Source organism: Homo sapiens, chromosome 11 (assembly GCF_000001405.40).
Source record: "Homo sapiens chromosome 11, GRCh38.p14 Primary Assembly".
Taxonomy (NCBI): domain Eukaryota; kingdom Metazoa; phylum Chordata; class Mammalia; order Primates; family Hominidae; genus Homo; species Homo sapiens.
The window spans coordinates 76,485,578-76,507,683 of NC_000011.10; the positions used below are offsets into that span (position 1 = coordinate 76,485,578).

The window sequence follows — 22,106 nt, forward strand, 5'->3', positions numbered from 1 at the left end:
ACAGCCAATATCATACTGAATGGGCAAAAGCTGGAAGCATTCCCTTTGAAAACTGGTACAAGACAAGAATGCCCTCTCTCACCACTCCTATTCAACATAGTATTGGAAGTTCTGGCCAGGGCAATCAGGCAAGAGAAAGAAATAAAGGGTATTCAATAAAGGGTATTCAAATAGGAAGAGAGGAAGTCCATGTGGAGAAATTGGAACACTTTTACACTGTTGGTGGGAGTATAAATTAGTTCAATGATTGTGGAAGATGGTGTGGCGATTCTTCAAGTATCTAGAACCAGAAATACCATTTGACCCAGCAATCCCATTACTGGGCATATACCCAAAGGATTATACATCATGCTACTATAAAGACACATGCACATGTATGTTTATTGCAGCCCTGTTCACAATAGCAAAGACTTGGAACCAACCCAAATGCCCATCAGTGGTAGACTGGGTAAAGAAAGTGTGGCACGTATACACCATGGAATACTACGCAGCCATAAAAGAGGATGATTTCATGTCCTTTGCGGGGACATGCATGAAGCTGGAAACCATCATTCTTGGCAAACTAACACAGGAACAGAAAACCAAACACCAAATATTCTCACTCATAAGTGGGAGTTGAACAATGAGAACACATGGACACAGGGAGGGGAACATCACACGCTGGGGCCTGTTGGCGGGTGGGGGGCAAGGGGAGGGATAGCATTAGGAGAAATAACTAAGGTAGATGACAGGTTGTTGGGTGCAGCAAAGCACCATGGCACGTGTATACTTATGTGACAAACCTGCATGTTCTGCACATCTATCCCAGAACTTAAAATATAATAAAAAAATGCTTTCTTGAACAGCATACTAACAGCAGTGAACAGAGGCATGAGTGTGGATGATTTTCAAAAAGAGTTTAACATGACGGATGCCGTATATGCTGTTGCCAATGCTTGGAACATAGTATCTAAAGACACAGTTGTGCATGTCTGGCACAACCTCTGGCCTGGGACTATGTTTAGTGATGATGATCAAAGTAGTGACTTTGAAGGATCTTGTATGTCAAATGAGAAAAAAATGATCTCTGACCTCTCCTCCTTACATTTGCAAAAAAATATACCTTCAGAGTCTGTCTGGAAGGTGGGTGAAGTGGATATTTAAGAAGTTTTTAACGTCCATAATGAGGCTCCAGTTACTCCAGTTGACTGATAGTGAAATAGCCAAAATGGTTCTGAATCAAGGTGGTCATAATAGTGATGATGAAGATGACATTAACACTGCAGAAAAAAGTCCTATACATGACATGGTGAAAATGTGTGATGATCTTACTGAAGGACTAGAGCAGTGTTCATTTATAACAGAATAACAAATCATGTCAGTTTATACAATCAGAGAGAAAATTCTAAAGCAAAAACTGTTGTTAATAAGACAGATGAGGCTGGGTGCAGTGGCTCACGCCTGTAATCCCAGCACTTTGGGAGGCTGAGGCAGGCGGATCACTAGACCAGGAGATCGAGACCATCCTGGCTAACACGGTGAAAACCTGTCTCTACTAAACAAAATACAAAAAATTAGCTGGGCCTGGTGGTGGGCGCCTGTAGTCCCAGCTACTCAGGAGGCTGAGGCAGGAGAATGGCATGAACCCGGGAGGCGGAGCTTGCAGTGAGCTGAGATGGTGCCACTGCACTGCAGCCTGGGCGACAGAGTCTCCTGGTCTCTCATCTGCTTCTGATGCTTCTTATTACCTAAAAACAAACACAGAAACAAAAAACAGGATACAGTAGCCTTTTAATCAAAACACAATATCATAGGTATAGACTGAAAGCCTGTCTTCATTTGTTCTTGCTCTTGTTTAACAGCTGATACAAGTATTCTGGTGATACTACTGTGCTGCTAGGTTACCCAGAACATATTATTTTTTAACGGTATCAGTAGTAGGTAATATTTTTTACTGTTAGATACTTATGTGTAAGTAAGTGTAAGAAAATAATTGCTTATCAGTAGCATACAAGTTCAGAGTTAGGAATGGTGGTGATACCTAACAACCGCAGATCGTCCACATGGGTGCCCAAGATAGTGACACCTTTGCTTTCTGATGGTTCAGTGTATACAAACTTTGCACAAAATTATTTAAAATATTTTATAAAGTTTATCTTCAGGCTGTGTATAAGGTTTATGTGAAACAAATGAATTTCATGTTTCGACTTGGGTCACATCCCCGAGGTACCTCGTTATGCCTATGGAGATATTCCCAAATCTGGAAAAGATTCAAAATATGAAACACTTATGATCCCAAAGATTTTGGATAAGTGATACTCAAACTTTATATCATTTTACACCTGATTTTTTTCTTTAATATCTATGAGTATGACACAAAACACAGGTAATGTTTTTAACATTTATGCATTATCTTTCCCCTTCACTTACATGACTTTTTAAAAAATGTTCTTTGAACTTCATATTTCTCTAAGGCTCGTGTTAAAAACTCTGAGTATTTCATATTTATTCAAAATTACCAATGTAGCCTGAACTACAGTTCTTCCAAACATGGATTAATGTCTTTGTTTCAGTGATATTCACAGTAGCCCATTTTTTTGTGTGTATTTAAATGTTTCATAAATTTAGGCTGAGTGCATTGGCTCATGCCTGTAATCCCAACACTTTGGGAGGCCAAAGAGGGAGGGTTGTTTGAAGCTAGGAGTTCAACATCAGCCTGGGCAACGTAGCATGACCTCATCTCTACAAAAAATGCAAAAATTAGCCAGGCGTGGTGGTGTACACCTGTAATCGTAGCTACTCGGGAAGCCTGAGTCAGGAGGATTGCTTGAGCCCAGGATTTGGAGGCTGCATTGAGCTATGATTGTGCCACTGCACTCTAGCCTGGGCATTAAAAGAAGACTGTCTCAAAAACAAAAACAAAGTTTAATAAAGTTATTGTTACAGAGCCCATGGATTATTTATGCTATTTTTTTTTTGTTTTTTTTTTTATTTTTTAGCTGGATCTGGAGATTCTTATATGGATTGTTAATATCCAAACTTACTTGCAAAATACGATGTGATTGAATGAATATCTTTACATAAATCTGCATTGATCAAGTGATTGGTTTTTCACAATAAAATTTATTATCTCACAAAACCAGAAGTCCAGAAGGGAGGCTCAAGTTAGGCATTAGCTCATTTGAGCCATCAAGGAATTTCTTTTCACCTTTCTCTTTGCTTTTCTTGGTAATTCTTGGGTAACTCTTGGGGCTTTTTTCTTGGGTAATTCTCATCCTGGGCAAGTTGAGTACATTTCAGGTTCTACATCTAGCTGTGACAATGTCAGAGAAAAAAGAGAGAATCCCCTTCTGTGGGTCTGTCTTAGGAAAGAAAAAATCTTTCCTAGAAGTCTTCCATGAGATTCTCCTTATATTATGCTGGCCACAACTGTGTCATATGTCCTACCTAAACTAGTTCTTTGCAAAAGTAATGGGGCCACCATGACTGGCTTAGATCAATTAGGAATTGCCTGTATGGCTGGCTTAGGGCCAGCCCTCTGAAAGTACATGCCAATGCCTTGTGGATTCTTCAGGAAAGACAACAGATTCTATTAGAAAAGAGGAGGGCAGAGGAGAAAGGAAATTAGGACAGGCAACCAAGAGTGTATGCTGCATTCGATTATTTAATAAATGGTTTTAGAATAATTGACTTTTCATTTGGTTCTGTGCATGTCCATGTTACTTGGTTGATGGACTTGATCAGATTCTTCTTGTTTTCTTTTTTTTTTTTTTTTTGGTCTACTTGTTATGTCAGTTACTGAAAGGGAAGTGTAAAAGTCTGTAGCTATATTTGTGGCTTTGTACATTTCTCCCTTTAATTCTGTCAGTTTTTATACACACACACTTAGGATTATTGTGTCTTCTTGATGGATTAACCCCCTTTTCATTATGAACCATTCCTTTTTATCTCTGGTAACCCTTGATGTTATCACCAGTGTTTCCATGTCTGTCTTTTCTGATGTTAATATAGCCACTCCAACTTTCTTATGATTACTGTTTGCTTGATGTATCTTTTTTTTTTTTTTGAGATGGAGTCTTGCTCTATCGCCCAGGCTGGAGTACAGTGGCGTGATTTTGGCTCACTGCAACCTCCACCTCCTAGGTTCCAGCGATTCTCCTGCCTCAGCCTCCTGAGTAGCTCAGATTATGGGCGTGCACCACCACGCCTGACTAATTTTTGTATTTTTAGTAGAGTCAGCGTCTCACCATGTTGGCCAGGCTGGTCTCAAACTTCTGACCTCTGGTGATCCATCCACCTCGGCCTCCCAAAGTGCTGGGATTAAAGGCACAAGCCACCGTGCCCGGCCTACTTGATGTATCTTTTTTTCATTATTGTATTCTTAACCCATCTGTGCCTTTGTATTTAAAATATATCTCTTATGAACATTGTATAGTTAGGTCTTTTCTCTCAGTCTGATAATCTCTGACCTTTAATTGGAAGGTGTAGTCCATTTACATTTAATATTAATTATCGGTAGGATTGAGTTTAAGTCTGTCATCTTGACAATTGTTTTTATTTGTCTCATATGTTCCTTGTTCCTTTTGGTCTCTTTTCCAGTCTTCTTTTATTTATTTATTTTTATTGATTTTTTTTTTAAGGATTCCATTTTATTTCCTCGACTCGGTAGCTACACTTAAAAAAAAATAGTTGCTCTAGAGTAGGGTTCTCAACCTCCACATTGTTGACATTCTTGACCAGATAATTTTTTGTTCTTGAAGTTGACCTGTGCATTATAAACCTGACTATCCACTAGGTGCCAGTAGCATATGCCCCCCGACCCCTGTTATGAAAATAAAAAATGTCTCCAGTGATTGTCAGATATCCTGTGGGATGACGAGAGGCGGAAAAATTACTATTGGTTGAGAATCTAGCTTTAGAGCTTACAGTATGCATTTTCAATTTATAACAGTCTACCTTGAAATAATATACTATTTCATGTATTGTGTTAGAATCTTAAAAGAGTACTTCTATTTCCTCTCTCCCTTCCTTGTGCTATGGTTGTCATACACTTTAATTCTATATGTATTTATAAACTTCACATTGCCTTGTTAATCTTTTTGCTTCAAACTGGTGATTTTCTTTTAAAGAAATTACAAAAGAGGGGAAAACATGTCTTTTAGGTGTACCAGGTTCATCTTATACTTTTCCTATTCCAGCCTTGGAATCAGTCATTTTTTCAAGAAGTCTTGGTTTCTTATAGTAGAAAGTAATAATTAGAAGCTAAGATCTGGGTTCTGGATATGTTCATTGCTAGGGGGTGTGTGTGTGTGTGTGTGTGTGTGTAAACACATGTACATCTGTATTTTCATATATTAAAAGCTGAGTTCATAGTGATACATCCAATTTCAATCAAACATTGCATGTTAACTTGTTTCCTCTCTCTCTGATAGTGAAAAACCTAACTTCTATTATCTCGAATATACTTATATATCAGTTTCCTGATATGTAACCAAATAATAGTTGCTCCTCCCCTATGCTGTTGTTGCCTCCTCCCCTGTGCAGGTGCTGTCCTCATTCCTTTCAGGCTCTGACATCTGCATACTCTTACCTCAGCTCAGCTGATTTCTTCTTCTTTTTTCTTTTTTTTTTTTTTTTTTAAGAGATAGGGGTCTTACTCTGGCACCTAAGCTGGAGTATAGTGGCATGATCATGGCTCACTGTAGTCTCTAACTCCTATGCTCAAGGGATCCTCCTACCTCAGCCTCCTGAGTAGCTGGGACTACAGGTGTGTGCTGCCATGCCCGGCTTTTTTTGTTTTTTGTTTGTAGAGACAGGGTCTTGCTATGTTGACCAGGGTGCTCTTGAACTCCTGACCTCAAGTGGTCCTCCTGCCTAGCCTCCCAAAGTGCTGAGATTATAGGCATGAGCCACTGTGTCCAGCCCCGCCTGAGTTCTGACACCTTCCCTCAGCTACCCCTTTGCATGGATGCCTATCTCAACCTGGTCAGCTCTGACAGCCATGCCAGGGCCAGGTGGCCCTCCTAGGCAGAAGCCCTCACCCAGTTTGGACTCTGTACTCACCCTAGCCACCGTTTCCTACGGATACCCTGCTGAAGCTTTGAGATCCTGCGCTAGGTAGCTCACACCGTGGAAGCCCACTTTATCCCACTTAGGTTCTAACTTTACATGCTGGGTTATCCCGTGAACTCTTCTCAGTGTAGATGCTCTCCTCCTCCTACTCTGGCTCCCATGGTAAGCCAGTCTCCAGAGTGAACTCTGTCACCTCATGCTAGACTACTCTTCTGCTTAGCTGCCTAGCTGTCCATCCTGCTTTATACCACCAGATGGCTTTTGTATGGAATTGTTTGGGTAGCTAAGGGGGATGGAAGAGGAAGAAGACCTTGTAGTTGTTAACACGAAACATTTATTAGTTTGTAATGATAGACTCGTGTGATCATTTGATTGTCTTCTCTGACCTTTCTCAGGGTAGGGACTGTTCCATGGATACCAAATAGTTTCCCCAGGATCTAGCATAAAGTATGTACTCAAGTTTTTATTGAATAAATAAATATTCAGAAAGATTAAGTACTTTAATCAGGTCATACAGCTATTATGTTTTTATGTGTTGAAGACATGGATTTAAATACACTTCTGGCTGGGCGCAGTGGCTCATGCCTATAATCCCAGCACTTTGGGAGGCCAAGACCAGTGGATCACTTGAGGTCAGGAGTTTGAGAGCAGCCTGGCCAACATGGTGAAACCTCTACTCGACTAAAAATACAAAAATTAGCCATGCATGGTGGTGCGTGCCTCTAATCCCAGCTGATCGGGAGTCTGAGGCAGGAGAATCGCTTGAACCGGGAGGCAGAGGTTGCAGTGAGTTGAGATCACGCCACTGCACTCCAGCCTGGGCCACAGAGCGAGACTCCATCTCATAAATAAATAAATAAATACAATTCTCTGATTACAAAAATAAATACAAGCATCCTGAATGCTTTCACATCAGATACTTTTCCTGTACAAAAGTATGTGGAAATCACAGTGATGGCAGCGGTGGCCCATCTGGTAGCTGCTGCAGAGATGCTGCAGTGGGGGAGGCATCGCCAGGGCTGCCCATTCCACAGAGCCCGCAGGGAGCCAGGAACAGATAGGAACCCTACTCTCTTCTGAGTTGGCAGGGCAGGAGCCCCGCCCTCCTGGGTGCAGCTCCAGTGGGTGCAGTGGACTCCAGGTGAAGTCCTCAGACTTAGAACCTAAGTGTGGGATAAAGTGGGCTTCCATGAGTGTGAGCTACCTAGCACACACTCAGGTGGAGTGAGAAGTTAACAGGGCTTTTTCTGGCCCGCCTGTGGCCACCCATGAACCAATCAGCATGCACTTCCTCCCTGCTGAGCCCATGAAAACCCTGGACTTAGCCAGACTCCAACAGACTGGGGAAAACCTGCCTGTGGAAAGGAGCTACCCGCTGTGGGTCTCCTCCCCACGCAGACCTGGGCATCCGTGTGCTCTCAGGGGCCAGGGAAGCCCCCCCTTCCCTTGCAGTCTCCGAAGTGCCTGCTCCTGCTGCCTGGCCTCTCCCCGCTCCTGCTGTCTGCTCCGGTTTCAGAGCAAAGTTGAGGCCTAGCCTGGGTGCTGTTGCCACCCAGCTGGGTGCACACCACTTGGGGTGGCACTGACGTGCCAGCCCCCTGCCGCCTGAACCGCCCCCACCCCCAGACTTTGGGTGCCAATGAGCACGGGAAGGAGGCCAAAGGGGGTCGAGGGTGGGTTGATAAGGGCCTGCAGGCGCCCCTTCCCCGAACAGCCTGGGCTCTGTGATTGATGGCAGCAGGAGGCAGACAGGCTCGTGAGTGCAAAGGGGTGGGTCCCGGTGAGGTCCCACCCTCAAACCAGGGATGGCCTGAAGCATGGGGTCTGGGCTGTCAGTTCCAGGTGGAGTCGAGACTGGAGTGAGAAGTTACAGGGCTTTTTCCGGTCCATTGGCCGCCCATGGACCAATTAGCATGCACTTTCTCCCTTCTGAACCCATGAAAACCCCTGACACAGCCAGACTCCAACAGACGTGGGGAAGATCTGCCTGTGGAAAGGAGCTACCCACTGTGGGTCTTCTCTCAGCTGAAAGCTGAACACTCGTTCAGGAGACCTTCTTGTAGAAAGGAGCTACTCGCTTCGGATCTCTTGAGAGCTGTTCTGTTGCTCAGTGAAGCTCCTCTCCGCCTTGCTTACCATCCAGTTGTCCGAGTACTTCATTCTTCCTGGATGCGAGACAAGAACTGGAGACCCGCCAAATGCCGGGACTGAAAGAGCTGTAACACAAACAGGGCTGAAACATGTTCCCCTGCTCCCCATGTTACCAGTGACAGGAGAGAAGAGCTGCAGCCCTTGGGGGAGCCCAGACCTAGGGGCTCCCCAAGCCTGGGCTCTGACACCCTCTTTGGGACTCTGTGGTTCTGGTGTCTCCAAGCTTTCGGGCGCCACTGTGTTCTCGTTCAGATGCGGATGCCCGCAGCAGAAGCTGTGTGCGGTACATCTGGTCCAGCCGCAGCCTCGCATGGAGCTTGGCATCTCTGCCAGTGCCTGGAGCTGCCCGCCCCACTGCAGCAGCTGGCATCTGTGCCTGGCTCACTGTTGACAGGTGTGGGATCCGGGCCGGTAGCACGAGCCAAGCACCGCCTGCAGGGACAAGTGGACAGAATGAGCCCAGTGGGCAAGCAATACTCAGGTAGAAGGTGCCGCCGGCCACAGACGTTTCTGGCTGGTGAAGTGACACCCCAGAGATCCCGTGACAATAGTTTAGTTAGGGAGTTACCCATGTACATGATTATCTTCATTTAATATAAGACCATACATTATGAGTGCCATATAAAGTTTAATGCTTTAGGTAGTATAAAAATATCTTTCACTTGGATAACTTTATACTCATTGAGTCATAAAATGTTGGCACTGAAAGAGGCTCCAGAGATAGTCTAGTTCAGCACAACCAAGCAATACAGAACATACATGTTACTAGTATTCAGGAAGGAGTGGGGAACTATGTAAGTAATGGAAGTAAGCCTTCCAGGTGATTCTGACTACCTTGCCTGCCTGCCTGCCTTCCTCTCCTTTCCTTTCCCTTCCTTCCTTCCTTCCTTCCTTCCTTCCTTCCTTCCTTCCTTCCTTCCTTCCTTCCTTCCTTCCTTCCTTCCTTCCTTCCTTCCTTTCCTTCCTTCCTTTCCTTCCTTTCCTTTTCTTCTGTCGCCCAGGCTGGAGTGCAGTAATGCCATCTCGGTTCACTGCAACCTCTGCTTCCCAGGTTCAAGAGATTCTCCTGCCTCACCTTCCCGAGTAGCTGGGATTACAGGTGCCTGCCACCGTGCCCGGCTAATTTTTGTATTTTTAGTAGAGATGGGGTTTCACTATGTTGGCCAGGCTGGTCTTAAACTCCTGACTTCAGGTGATACGCCTGCCTCAGCCTCCCAAAGTGTTGGGATTACAGGCGTGAGCCACTGTGCCCGGCCTTCTTGTCTCAAAGTGTCCCTCAGTCTGTGATTGATCTTGATCTGCACAACAGCTCTTAGAGACACAGGGCAAGGAAAAATTCAACAAGTGAGGATGCTGAGGTCTAGAGAGTCATAGCGACTTCTCAAGTTTTATCCTCCATCTTTATCATTCTCTAGAGACATTTTACATAAGAACGTGATATTATTTAAAACCTTTTCTGTAATACAGTGTATTTGTCATGGTGAGGATGTGGTAGAGAAAGGTGTGAAAAAACATCCTAAGTACTTGAGAATTAGGCTATTAGTTTCTTTTTATTGTATCAGCAGTGCTTAAAAAGTTAATATGATGAGTTATATTCCAGGTTCTCTCAGTTAGGAATATTAACTTATTGATAGATAATAGTCCTTTTAGATAGTTGATGAATTCAGAAAAATTACAGATGAAAAACCTGCGAGAGGGAAGAATATCTGAAACTCATACATCTTTAGTGAAAGTTACTAGTACTCCTTACCTATGTGTGCTTGCTAATATTAGAATCCCACTGAAAAGAACCTCATATAATCAGAATCTTTTTGCTGTGGATATGTTGAGTATGCCCATTTACAACTTTTCATATGATTATTTAATGATTCAGAGTTCTTAGGAAATGACTTTTTCTGTTTTTATTAAAATTTTTTTTCCTCTTCACCATTCTCAGAGAAAAGGGAATTATCTTGTTCAAAAGATGAATGTGAGTTATTTCAAGGATACTATGTTTAAACTGGCTGATTAGAACCTGAAAAATAATATTTGAAAAATATATAACATATAAATAAGATTCAAAAATTAATAAAATCGCTTTGTTCTTATATTATTCACATTGAGAACCTACATTTTCTAATAGAAAATCTGTTAAGAGACAGGTCTGGGAACATCCTGTCTGATAATTTGTTTCTTTCATTCTCACTCTTCACCAAGGGAAAATCAGTTCATTTTTAAAATCTGAGAACAATGGTTACCTCCCTTGAAGAGTTTGAAGACTAGATATCAGATATGTAAGGTGCCACACATTTTATCTGACACTTACTAGGTGCTCAATAAATTGTACTTTTTGTTGATTTCCCTATTCTTTAAACTATTATCTACTATAATAACCAGAAGTAACTTTAATTTTGCTTTCCTATCAAATTCTCTTTTCCCTTACTCCTTTTCTACAGGTGTATCTACATCAGCAATCAAAATGGCATCAACCAGACTTCCTTCCCCCAAAAGCTTAGTGAGTGCCCCAACTCAGATTCTTGCACAGTTCCCTAAACAACATCAACAGTCTCCTAAGCAGCAGTTATATCAAGTGCAACAGCAGACACAGCAACAAGTGGCCCAGCCTTCTCCAGTATCTCATCAGCAACAGCCTCAGCAGTCTCCTTTGCCACCTGGTATTAAACCTACCATCCAAATCAAACAGGAGTCAGGTAACTGGAAAATGTTTATAAGATATGGTAATTCTTCTTTATTCACCAGTTTTTTTAGTCTTCCAGTCCATGAACACGGTATGTCTCTTCATTTATTTAGGTCTTTGACTTTTTCATCAGTGTTTTACAGCTTTCAGCATATAGATTCTGTATATGTTTTGTTAGATTTGTACCTAAGCATTTCATTTTCTTGTCGTGATTATAATTGGTATTATGATTTTAATTTCAATGTCTACATGTTTTTTGTTAGTATATAAAAATAGTATTGATCTTGTATCCTTTGACCTTGCTGAACTCACTTGTTCTCAGAGTATTTACATAGATTCCTTGGGATTTTCTGTGTATGCAACTATGTCATCTATAAATAGGGACAGTTTTGTTTCTTCCTTTCCAATCAATTGCTGTTTATTTCTTTTTGGTGTTTTATTTTATTGTCTAGAACTTCCAATACTATGCTGAATGAATAAGAGTGAGGAAAGTGGACATCCTTGCTTTGTTCCTAATCTTAAGGAGAAAACATTCAGTTTTTCACCATTAAGTACAATACCAGCTGTAGGCTTTTTATAGATGCTCTTTATCAGGTAGACGGAGTGCACTTCTGCTACTAGTTTTTGGGGAGTTTTTATCATGAATGAGTGTTGGATTTTGTCAAGTGCTTTTTCTGTTCAATTAAGTTTTTTCTTGTTTAGTCTATTGATATGCTGGATTATATTGATTGATTTTCTGTTAAACCAGCCTTGCATATTTGAAATAAATCCCACTTGGTCATGATATATAATTTTTAAAAATACATTGCTGGATTCAATTTGTCTCTCTATTCATGAGACATTTTGGTCTGTAATATTCTTATTTTATACTGCCTTTGTCCAATTTTGGTCAGGATAATACCGGCCTCATAAGGTGAGTTTGGAAGTATTTATTTCCTTTCTATTTTTTGGAAAAGACTATGTAAGATTGATGTTAATTCTTTAAATGTTCAGTAGAATTCTCCAATGAAGCCATCTGGGCCCGGAGAGTTCTGTTTTTAGAAGCTTTTAATTGATGAATTCCATTTCTTTATTAGTTATGGGACTTTTCAGATTATCTGTTTCATCTTGGTTTTGGTAGTTTATGGTTTTGAGGAATTGATCCATTTCTTCTAAGTTGTCAAATTTTTGAGTGTAAATTTGCTTGTAGTAGTTCTTTACTATTCTTTTAATGGCTATAGGATCGATATTAATGTCCTGTTTCATTTCTGATATTGGTGGTTTGTATCTTTCTTTGTCAGACTTGCTATTTATTGCATTTAAAAATTTATTGAATTTTTTAAGAACTAGATTTTTGTTTCATTGATTTTTCCTTTGCTTTTCTGTTTTTAATTTTATTATCTTTATTATTTCTGTCCTACTTTCTTTAGGTTTATTTTGCTCTTCTAATTTCTTAAGGTGGGAACTTAGATTATTGATTCAAGACATACTCTCTTTTCTAATTACTTAGCATTTAGTTCCATCTATGTAAAGACATTTGTCACAAATTTCTCTCGGCACTGTGTTAGCTGCCTTCCACATATTTTAATATGTTCTGTTTTCATTTTTATTCAATTTTTTGTGTAAGACTTCTTCTTTGACCCATGGATTATTTAGAATTGTGTTGCTTAATTTCTAATGGAGATTTTTCTGGGTTTGTTTGTTTGTTTTGCTATTGATTTCTAGTTTGATTTCATTATGGTCTGAGAACACACTGTATCATTTCAATTCTTTTACGTTTATTGAGGTTTGTTTCTTCACCCACAATATGTTCAACTTTGGTGGGTGGTCCATGGTGCTCGTAAAATATCTATGCTGCCGATGTTGGGTGGAGTATTCTATATATGTATATCAACTAGATTCTGTTGGTTGATTATGTTGTTCAGTTCTCCTATATCTATGCTGAATTTTCTGCATAGTAGTTCTATTAGTTGATGGGAGTGAAGTAATAAAGTCCCCAACTAATTGTTGGATTCTAGTACTGCAAAAACAGCTATCTCAGTTTTTGCTACATGTATTATATTTTGATATATCTATTGTTTGATGCATACATATTTAGAAACATTGTGTCTTCCTGGTATATTGATCCTGTCTCATTATGTAGCGTTCCTTTTTTTCTGCAATTAATTCTCTATTTTTTTTAAATATAAAGGCTGATTTTAAAAAATTTCCATTCTTAAAATTTAATTCCAATTTAACTTGTAAAGTCTGCCATATAAATTAATGATGGTAACTAGCCTGCATTAGTATATTTAGTGCATGTAATAGAGAACTATACTGACTGGAGGGGAGTGAGTTCTATTGCCTTGTAAAGTATACTTTATCTGTAATTAATATAGCCACTCCTATTTTCTTTTTATTCATGTTCACATAGTGTATTTTTTTCTCATCCTGTTACTTTCAACCTACTTTTATTGTTGTATTTGAAGTGAGTTTCTTGTAGACAGCATACAGTGTAGTTATATATTTTTATATCAACTTTGCCAATAACTTGTTTTTGTTTTTGAGACGGAGTCTCGCTTTGTCACCCAGGCTGGAGTGCAGTGGCACAATCTCAGCTCACTGCAACCTCCGCCTCCTGGGTTTAAGCGAGTCTCCTGCCTCAGTCTCCCAGGTAGCTGGGATTACAGGTGCACACTACCACGCCCAGGTAACTTTTGTATTTTTAGTAGAGACAGGGTTTTACCATGCTGGCCAGGCTGGTCTCGAATGCTGATCTCAAGTGATCCGCCCACCTCAGCCTTCCAAAGTGCTAGGATTACAGGTGTGAGCCACTGCATCTGGCCAACCAATCTTATAACTTTTTTTTTTTTTTTTTTTTTTTTTTTTTTGAGATGGAGTCTTGCTGTGTCGCCCAGGCTGGAGTGCAGGGGCGCTATCTCGGCTCACTGCAAGCTCCACCTTCTGGGTTCACACCATTCTCCTGCCTCAGCCTCCCAAGTAGATGGGACTACAGGCGCCTGCCACCACACCCGGCTAATTTTTTGTATTTTTAGTAGAGACGGGGTTTCACCGTGTTATCCAGGATGGTCTCAATCTCCTGACCTCGTGATCCGCCCTCCTCCACCTCCCAAAGTGCTGGTATTGCAGGCATGAGCCACTGCGCCCGGCCCCAATCTTTAACTTTTAAATGATATATTTAGATCATTTACATTTAAGGTAATTGTTGATATGGTAGTGGTTACATGTGCCGTTTTATTTTGTTTGTTTCTTTTGTTTCTTGTTTCTTTTTTCTTGCCTATTTGTAGTTTACTTGAAGAATTTTTAGGGTTTCATGTTGACTTATTATTTTAAAGTATATTGTTTTGTTCTGTTTTCTTAGCGTTTGCTTATGGTATTACAGTATACATGTGTTGGCCATGTGAGGCCAGGAGTTTGAGACCAGCCTGGGCAATATAACAAGACCTCTGCCCTTTTGTAGAGACCATTTTTTGGTCTCTACAAAAAATTTAAAAATTAGCTAGAAATGGTGGCATGTGCCTGTACTCCTAGGTACTTGGGAGGGAGCAGGAGGATTGCTTGAGCCCAGAAGTTTGAGGTTGCAGTGAGCTATGATTAAACCACTGCACTCCAGCGTGGGCTACAGAGTGAGAGCCTATCTCAAAAAAAAAAAAAAAACCAAACCCAAAACAATAAAAAAAATACTTATGTCGCCTATCACATTTGACCTTTTCACTGCAAATTACTCTATATTTGAAATAATTTTATCTTTCTAGTAAAAAAGGGAGATTTCACCATATCTAATGTTACTTAATATAATACTTAATGTTACTTAATGTTAATATAATACTTAATGTTACTGGCTCAGAGACTTTGCCAAAGGATAGAAATAATTCATAAAACAGATAGCTCCTAATCTCTTCCCAAAGGAACTAACTCCATTTATACCAGAGCATGGAGAAGTTCAAGACTAAGGGCATTCTCAAGAACAGTGAAGGAAGTGGTGAAAGGCAACCAGAAGGAGATTCATGGATGTAATGAACATATAGTCTAGACTGCAGACAGTTTATAGAGAAGAAGCAGATAATATAAAAGCTGGGAAGAGCCTTCATGAGGTTAGAAGAAATATCAAAAATGAACCCCAGAAACTGTTCCTTCAAAGGAGCCAAAATTCGGATTACAGAGTAATGTATGCTCCAAAGCTTTCCTGAAAACAACAGAGTAATCAACCAGCAGTTAATAGAGTTTAACAGCTGGGTGTCGTCAAGGAAAGAATAGAAAAAAGCCAAACTAATACCACTGTCATCCCAAAGTGACTGTAAGTATACCCAGAGCAGTGTCTCCATGAGGAATAATATCAGATGCTTAGATGAAGGAGCATGGGCTGGAGAGGGAATAAAAAGACTTCACTAAAATAACTGATCCCATCACTAAACAAATAACTATGCAAATAACAATAACAAATCCCTGGTGAGGGGAAACCAGTACCCAGGTACTGCATGGTCATCCCTCAGTATCCGTGGAAGATTGCTTCCAGGACCCTGTTGATACTCAAATCTGTGGATGTTCCAGTCCTTTATAAAAAATGGTGTAGTATTTATGAAACCTATGCACACCCTCCTGTATACTTTAAATCATCTCTAGATTACCTATAATACCTAATACAATGTAAATGCTATGTAGCTGTTATACTATATTGTTTCTGTACTTGTATTATTTTTTACTGTTGTATTATTATTTTTGTTGTCTTTTTCCTAAATATTTTTGATCCATGGTTGCTTGAATCTGAAGATGTAGAAGTTACAGAGGGCTGTATGTATATTATCTAAAATGTCTAATTTCTAACAAAGACATAAGGAGGCAGGTAAAGAAACAGGAAAATATTACCCATACATTAGAAAAACAAACAAACAACAGAAACTATAAGAGCAACCAGATGTCAGACTTAACTGAAAAGTACTTTGAAGTAGCCATTACAAATATGTTCACAGAACTAAAGAAAAACATGATTATAGAAGTAAAAGAGGCTATGAGGACAATATTACATCAAATAAAGATCAATAAAGAGATAGAAATTAGTTTTTAAAGAGAGCCAAACAGAAAATCTGGAGGTTAAAAGTAAAGTCACTGAACTAAAAAATGCACGAGAGGGGTTCACGTGTAGATCTGAACTGGCAGAAGAAAGAATTTGCAAATCTGAAAAACGATCAATAGAGGTTATGTGAGCTGAAGAACAAAGAGAAGAAACAATGAAGAAAAGTTAACAGAGCTTCAGAGAAATGTGAGACATTAAATACACCAACATACATATAATGGAAGTACGAGAGTTGGGAAGAGAGAAAAGAAAAGAAATATTCAAAGAAATAATGGCTGAAAACTTTTCCAAATTTATTGAAAAGCAGTAACATATGTTTAAGAAGCTTAACAAATTACAAATAAGATAAACAAAGATCATAAACAGACACATCTCAGTAAAATTGCTGAAATTCAAAGACAAAAAGAAAATCTTGAACACAGCAAGAGAAAAACAACATATCACTTACAAGGAAATTGCAATAAAGTTACGTAAGAGCTGACTTCCCAGTGGAAACAATGAAGCCAGCAGGCAGTTGGATAACACATTTGAAATGAAAAAAAAAAAAAAAAAACCCACCAACTAAGAATCCTATATCCAGCAAAGCTAGCTTTCAAAAATGAAGAAAGACTTTACCAAATAAACAAAATCTGCAAGAGTGTGTTGCTAGCAGACCCACCTTACAAGAGACACTAAAAGAAGTTCTATGAATAGAAAGAATAAGGAAAAAGACAGTGATGTCTGCTGTTGACACTTATATTCCATATTATACCAGAGGCTCAAGTAAGAGAAAATGGGCAAAAAAAAAAAAAAAAAAAAAAAAGCATCCAGATTGAAACAGAAGAAACTCTACCCCGTTTACAGATGACATGATCCTTTATATTATTTTTTTTTAAAAAAAGCATCCAGATTGAAACAGAAGAAACTCTACCCCATTTGCAGATGACATGATCCTTTATATTATTAAAAAAAAAAAAGCATCCAGATTGAAACAGAAGAAACTCTACCCCTATTTGCAGATCACATGATCCTTTATATTATTAAAAAAAAACAAAAAACAAAAAAAACCACTAAGGAATCTACTAAAAGATATTAGAACTAATAAATGAGACGTGTTTGGAAAGGTTGCGGGATACAAAGTCAACACACAAAAATCTATAAATTAGCAATATACAATCTAAAAAGTGAAACTAACAATTCCATTTATAATAGCACCAAAAGAACAAAATAGGAATAAATTTAACAAAAGAAATACAAAATGTATACTCTGAAAACTACAAAACATTGAAAGAAATTAAAGATCTAAATAAATAGGAAAGCATACCATGCTCACAGATCAGAAGATTTAACATTGTTAAGATGACAGTGCTCCTTAAATTAATCTATAGATTCAATGCAACCTATATCAGAATCTCAGCAGACTTCTTCGTAGAAATTGACAAGCTAACTCCAAAATTCATATGGAATTTGATAGCCATATGGTTAGCCAAAACAATCTTTAAAAAAAAGAAGTAAAAATCACAGGCAGGAGCCCCAGCATGGTGGCTCCTCCCGGTAATTCCAGCACTTTGTGGGGCTGAGGCAGGTGGACCACCTGAGGTCAGGATTTCGACATCAGACTGGCCAACATGGTGAAACCCTGTCTCTACTAAAAATACAAAAATTAACTGGCCATGATGGTACATGGCTGTAATCCCAGCTACTCGGGAGGCTGAGGCAGGAGAATCACTTGTACCTGAGAGGCGGAGGTTGCAGTGAGCTGAGATTGCACCACTGCACTCTAGCCTGGGTGACAGAGCAAGGCGTGGTCTCAAAAAAAAAAAAAAAAAAAAAAAGAAGAAGAAGGAGAGGACTCAAATGCTTCCTGATTTCAAAATTTACTACAAACCAATGGTAATCAAAACAGTATGGTACCGGCATAAGACATATAGATCAATGGAACAGAATTGAAAGTCCAGAAATAAAACCGTACAACTATGGTCAACTGCTTTTTGAGAAAGATGCCAAGATCATTCAATGGGGGAAAAATAGTCTTTTTAACAAATTCTGTTGGGACAAATGAATAGATATGTGCAAAGGAATGAAGTGAGACCCTTACATCACACCGTATACAAAATTAACTCAAATGAATCAAACATTTACACTTAGAGGTAAAACTATCAAACTCTTAGAAAAAAACTTAGGGTAAATCTCTAACATACTGGATTTGGCAAAGGATTCTTGGATATAACAATGAAAGCATGAGCAACAAAAAGAAAATAGAAAAGTTAGATATCAAAAACTGCTGTATTCAATTTAATTTATTTATTTATTTGAGACGGAGTCTTGCTCTGTCACCCAGGCTAGCGTGTAGTGGCACGGTCTTGGCTCACTGCAACTTACGCCTCCTGGGTTCAAGCAATTCTCCTGCTTCAGCCTCCCGAGTAGCTGGGATTACAGGCGCGCACCATCACGCCCGGCTAATTTTTTTTTTTTTTTGTAGAGATGGGTTTTCACCATGTTGGCCAAGCTGGTCTCAAACTCCTGACTTCAAGTGATCCACCTACCTTGGCCTCCCAAAGTGCTGGGATTACAGGCGGGAGCCACTGTGCCCAGCTAACTGCTGTGTTTTAAAAGATACCATCAAGAAAGTAAAAAGACAATTCAGAGAATGGGAAATAATACTTGCAAATTACATATCCGAAGCAACTGTACCATTTTACATTCCCACCAGCAAATATAAACTGTACCATTTTACATTCCCACCACCAGAAATAAAACCATACATGTACATGTAAAATGGTACAGATATATGAGTTTTTATATATATATAATATATATATATAAACTCTTATAACTCAATGGTAAATAGACATATAACCCAATTTTAAAATGGGTAAAAGATCCGAATAGCCATTTCTTCAGGGAAAATATATAAAAGATACAAAAAGCACATGAAAACATGCTAAACATCATTAGTTATCAGGTAAGTACACATCAGAATCACAGTGAAATATACTTTACACAAAGCAGACTGCCTAGAATCAATGTAACAGAATAACAAGTGTTGACATGGATGTAGAGAAACAGGAATCCTCATACACTGCTGGTGGGAATGTAAAATGGTACTGTTGCTTTGGAAAACACGTCAGTTTATCAAACAATTAAATTAAACAAAGAATTAACATATGATCCTGAGATTCCACTCCTAGGTATATATACAAGAGAACTGAATACCAAAAAACTTGCATACAAATATTTTCAGCAGCATTATTCGTAATAGCCAATAGGTGAAACAATCCAAATTCATATCAATGGACAAACAGATAAACAAAATGTGAATTTTAATTAGCCATAAAAGGAATGAAGTACTAACACATGCTACAAGATGGATGAACCTCAAAAAGATTACATTAAGTTCAAGAAGCCAGTTACAGAAGACCACGTATTATATGATTTATTTCATATCAAAGTCCAAATTACAGAAATCTACAGACAGAAAATAACTAGTGGTTACTTGGGGCTGGGGGTAGGAAACTGAATGAATGGGTGCAAGGAGTAGTAGATCATATTATGGGGTTTCCTTTTGAAGTGAAGTGTTCTAAAATCAATTGTTATGATGGCTGAACATATCTGTGAATATATTAAATAACATTACATTGTACATTTTAAATGTGTTCATTGAATGCTTAGTCAATTATATTTTGATAAAGCTCTTTAAGAAAAGAAAATTCGGCCGGGAGCGGTGGCTCATGCCTGTAATCCCAGCACTTTGGGAGGCCAAGGCGGGCGGTCTTGGCTCACTGCAACTTACGCCTCCTGGGTTCAAGCAATTCTCCTGCTTCAGCCTCCCAAGTAGCTGGGATTACAGGCGCGCACCATCACGCCCGGCTAATTTTTTTTTTTTTTTTTTTGTAGAGATGGGTTTTCACCATGTTGGCCAAGCTGGTCTCAAACTCCTGACTTCAAGTGATCCACCTACCTTGTTGTAAAACTATAAAAATATACAATAGCGTGATAAATACCATATTCCAGATAGTGGCTCTGGGGATGTGGAGAGAAGAATAGTGGTATTACTTCATAGAAAATAATCTAAAAGAAATATGGCGGCTGGGCACAGTGGCTCACGCCTGTAATCCCAGCACCTTGGGAGGCTGAGGCGGGTGGATCACGAGGTCAAGAGATCGAGACCATCCTGGCTAACACGGTGAAACCCCATCTCTACTAAAAATACAAAAAATTAGCTGGGCGTGGTGGCAGGCGCCTGTAGTCCCAGCTACTTGGGAGGCTGAGGCAGGAGAATCGCGTGAACCCGGGGGGTGGAGCTTGCAGTGAACCAAGATCACGCCCCTGCACTCCAGCCTGGGCAACAGAGCGAGACTCTGTCTCAAAAAAAAAAGAAAAAAAAATTTCAGGCCGAGCACAGTGGCTCACACCTATAATCCTGACACTTTGGTAGGCCAAGGCGAGAGAATCACTTGAGGCCAGGTGTTCGACACCAGTCTGGGCAACATGGCAAGACCCCAACTCTACAAAAAAAATTTTTTTAATTAGCCAGGTATGGTGGCATATGCTTGTAGTCTCAGCTGAGGCTAAGGCGGCAGAATTGCCTGGTGTACTTAAGCCTGGGCAATAGAGCGAGACCTTGTCTCTAAATAAATAAATAAAATTTAAATATAAAAAATATTCCAGGGCATTAAAAAAAAACTTTCAAAATTCTTTCTTGGAAATACACATAATGCTCAAAGAAAAACCTGGCAAACCCTGCACACAAAAAAGAAAATTACAGACTGAAATCACATTTGGTTATCAATATATTGTATTGTCTAACCTCATACCAGTTTAAATTCCAAAAGACTTAAATACAAAAATTATAAACTGTGATGGAAAATCTGGAAGCATTAAAGACCACACTGATAAATTCAACTACATATAAACAAATAGTGTTTTGCACAGAAAACCCCATGAAGTCAAAAGACAAATAAACTGGAAAAAAATCTGCAAATCATGAAATGCACAGAATACCAATTATCCTGACAGTGTAAGAATTCCCAGAAATTGATCCAACAGGAAAGTGGAAAATGGATACAGATAGCACACAAAAAGTGAATTACAAAGGGCACTAAAACATATAAATAGTTTCTCAAACTCACTCTTAATAAGGGAAATGAAAAATGAAAAAAATACTGAGATAACATCCACCCGCCCCTATCACATTGGCAAAAATCCAACTGCTTGAAAATATACTGGTGGGAAGGGGGCACTGTGAGGAAGCTGGGACTCGTACATTACTGGTAGGAAAATAAATCGAAAATCCCGATAAGATGAAAACTTGGCAGTATCTGTCAAAACTGACATAGCAGTCATACTTCTGGAAATTTATCCTACAGATACACATACAAAATGACACTATATAGGCTTATTCACTGCATTTTGTTTGAATTTTAAAAAAAGAAAGACTGGAAACAACCTTACAGGGGATTCATTACATAAATTACGATTCTGGCGTACTTTATAGAGTTTACAGGTTCAGTTCCAGACCACTGAAATAAAGTGAATATCACAACAGAGGAAGTCACACCAAAGTTTTGGTTTCCCAGTGCATATAAAAGTTATGTTTATATTATACTGCTGTCTATTATGTGTGTAATTGTATTATGTCTAAAAAATGTACATACCTTAATTTAAAATACTTCATTGCTAAAAAATGCTAATGACCATCTGAGCCTTCAGAGAGGTGTAATCTTTTTGCTGGTGGAGGGTCTTGTCTCAATGTTGATGGCTGTTGACTGGTCAGGTTGGTGGATACTGAAGGTTGGGGTGGTTACAGCATTTTCTTAAAGTAAGACAACAGTGAAGTTGGCTGCATGGATTGATTTTTCCTTCTGTAAAAGATTTCTTTGTAGCATGGAATGCTGTTTTACAACATTTTACCCACAGTAGAACTTCTTTGAAAATGGAAGTCAATCTTTTAAACGTGCCATTGCTTTATCAACTAAGTTTATATAATACTCCAAATTGCTTGTTGTTATTTCAACAACATCCACAGGACAGGGCACTATTATTTCATTAGAAGATTCCATCTCAAGAAACCACATTCGTTGTTCATCCATGAGAAGCAACTCCTCATCTAGTCAAGTTTTATCACAAGATAGTTATTTCTCTCACTGAAGACCTAAACCACTCAAAGTCATCCATAGAGGTTGGAATCCACCT

At 39.3% G+C, this 22,106-nt stretch overlaps 1 protein-coding gene across 50 annotated transcripts in view; it reads left to right on the forward strand.

Annotated features, from left to right (window-relative positions):
* The window catches only part of EMSY (EMSY transcriptional repressor, BRCA2 interacting), a 108,014-nt gene that overhangs the window by 40,560 nt on the left and 45,348 nt on the right, over positions 1-22,106 (forward strand). For all 50 annotated transcript variants that reach the window (XM_047427269.1, NM_001300942.2, XM_047427298.1 and 47 more), the window contains one exon: positions 10,638-10,892. In XM_047427269.1, coding sequence (XP_047283225.1) covers positions 10,638-10,892 — 255 coding nt within the window. The remainder of the gene's footprint in view (positions 1-10,637; positions 10,893-22,106) is intronic.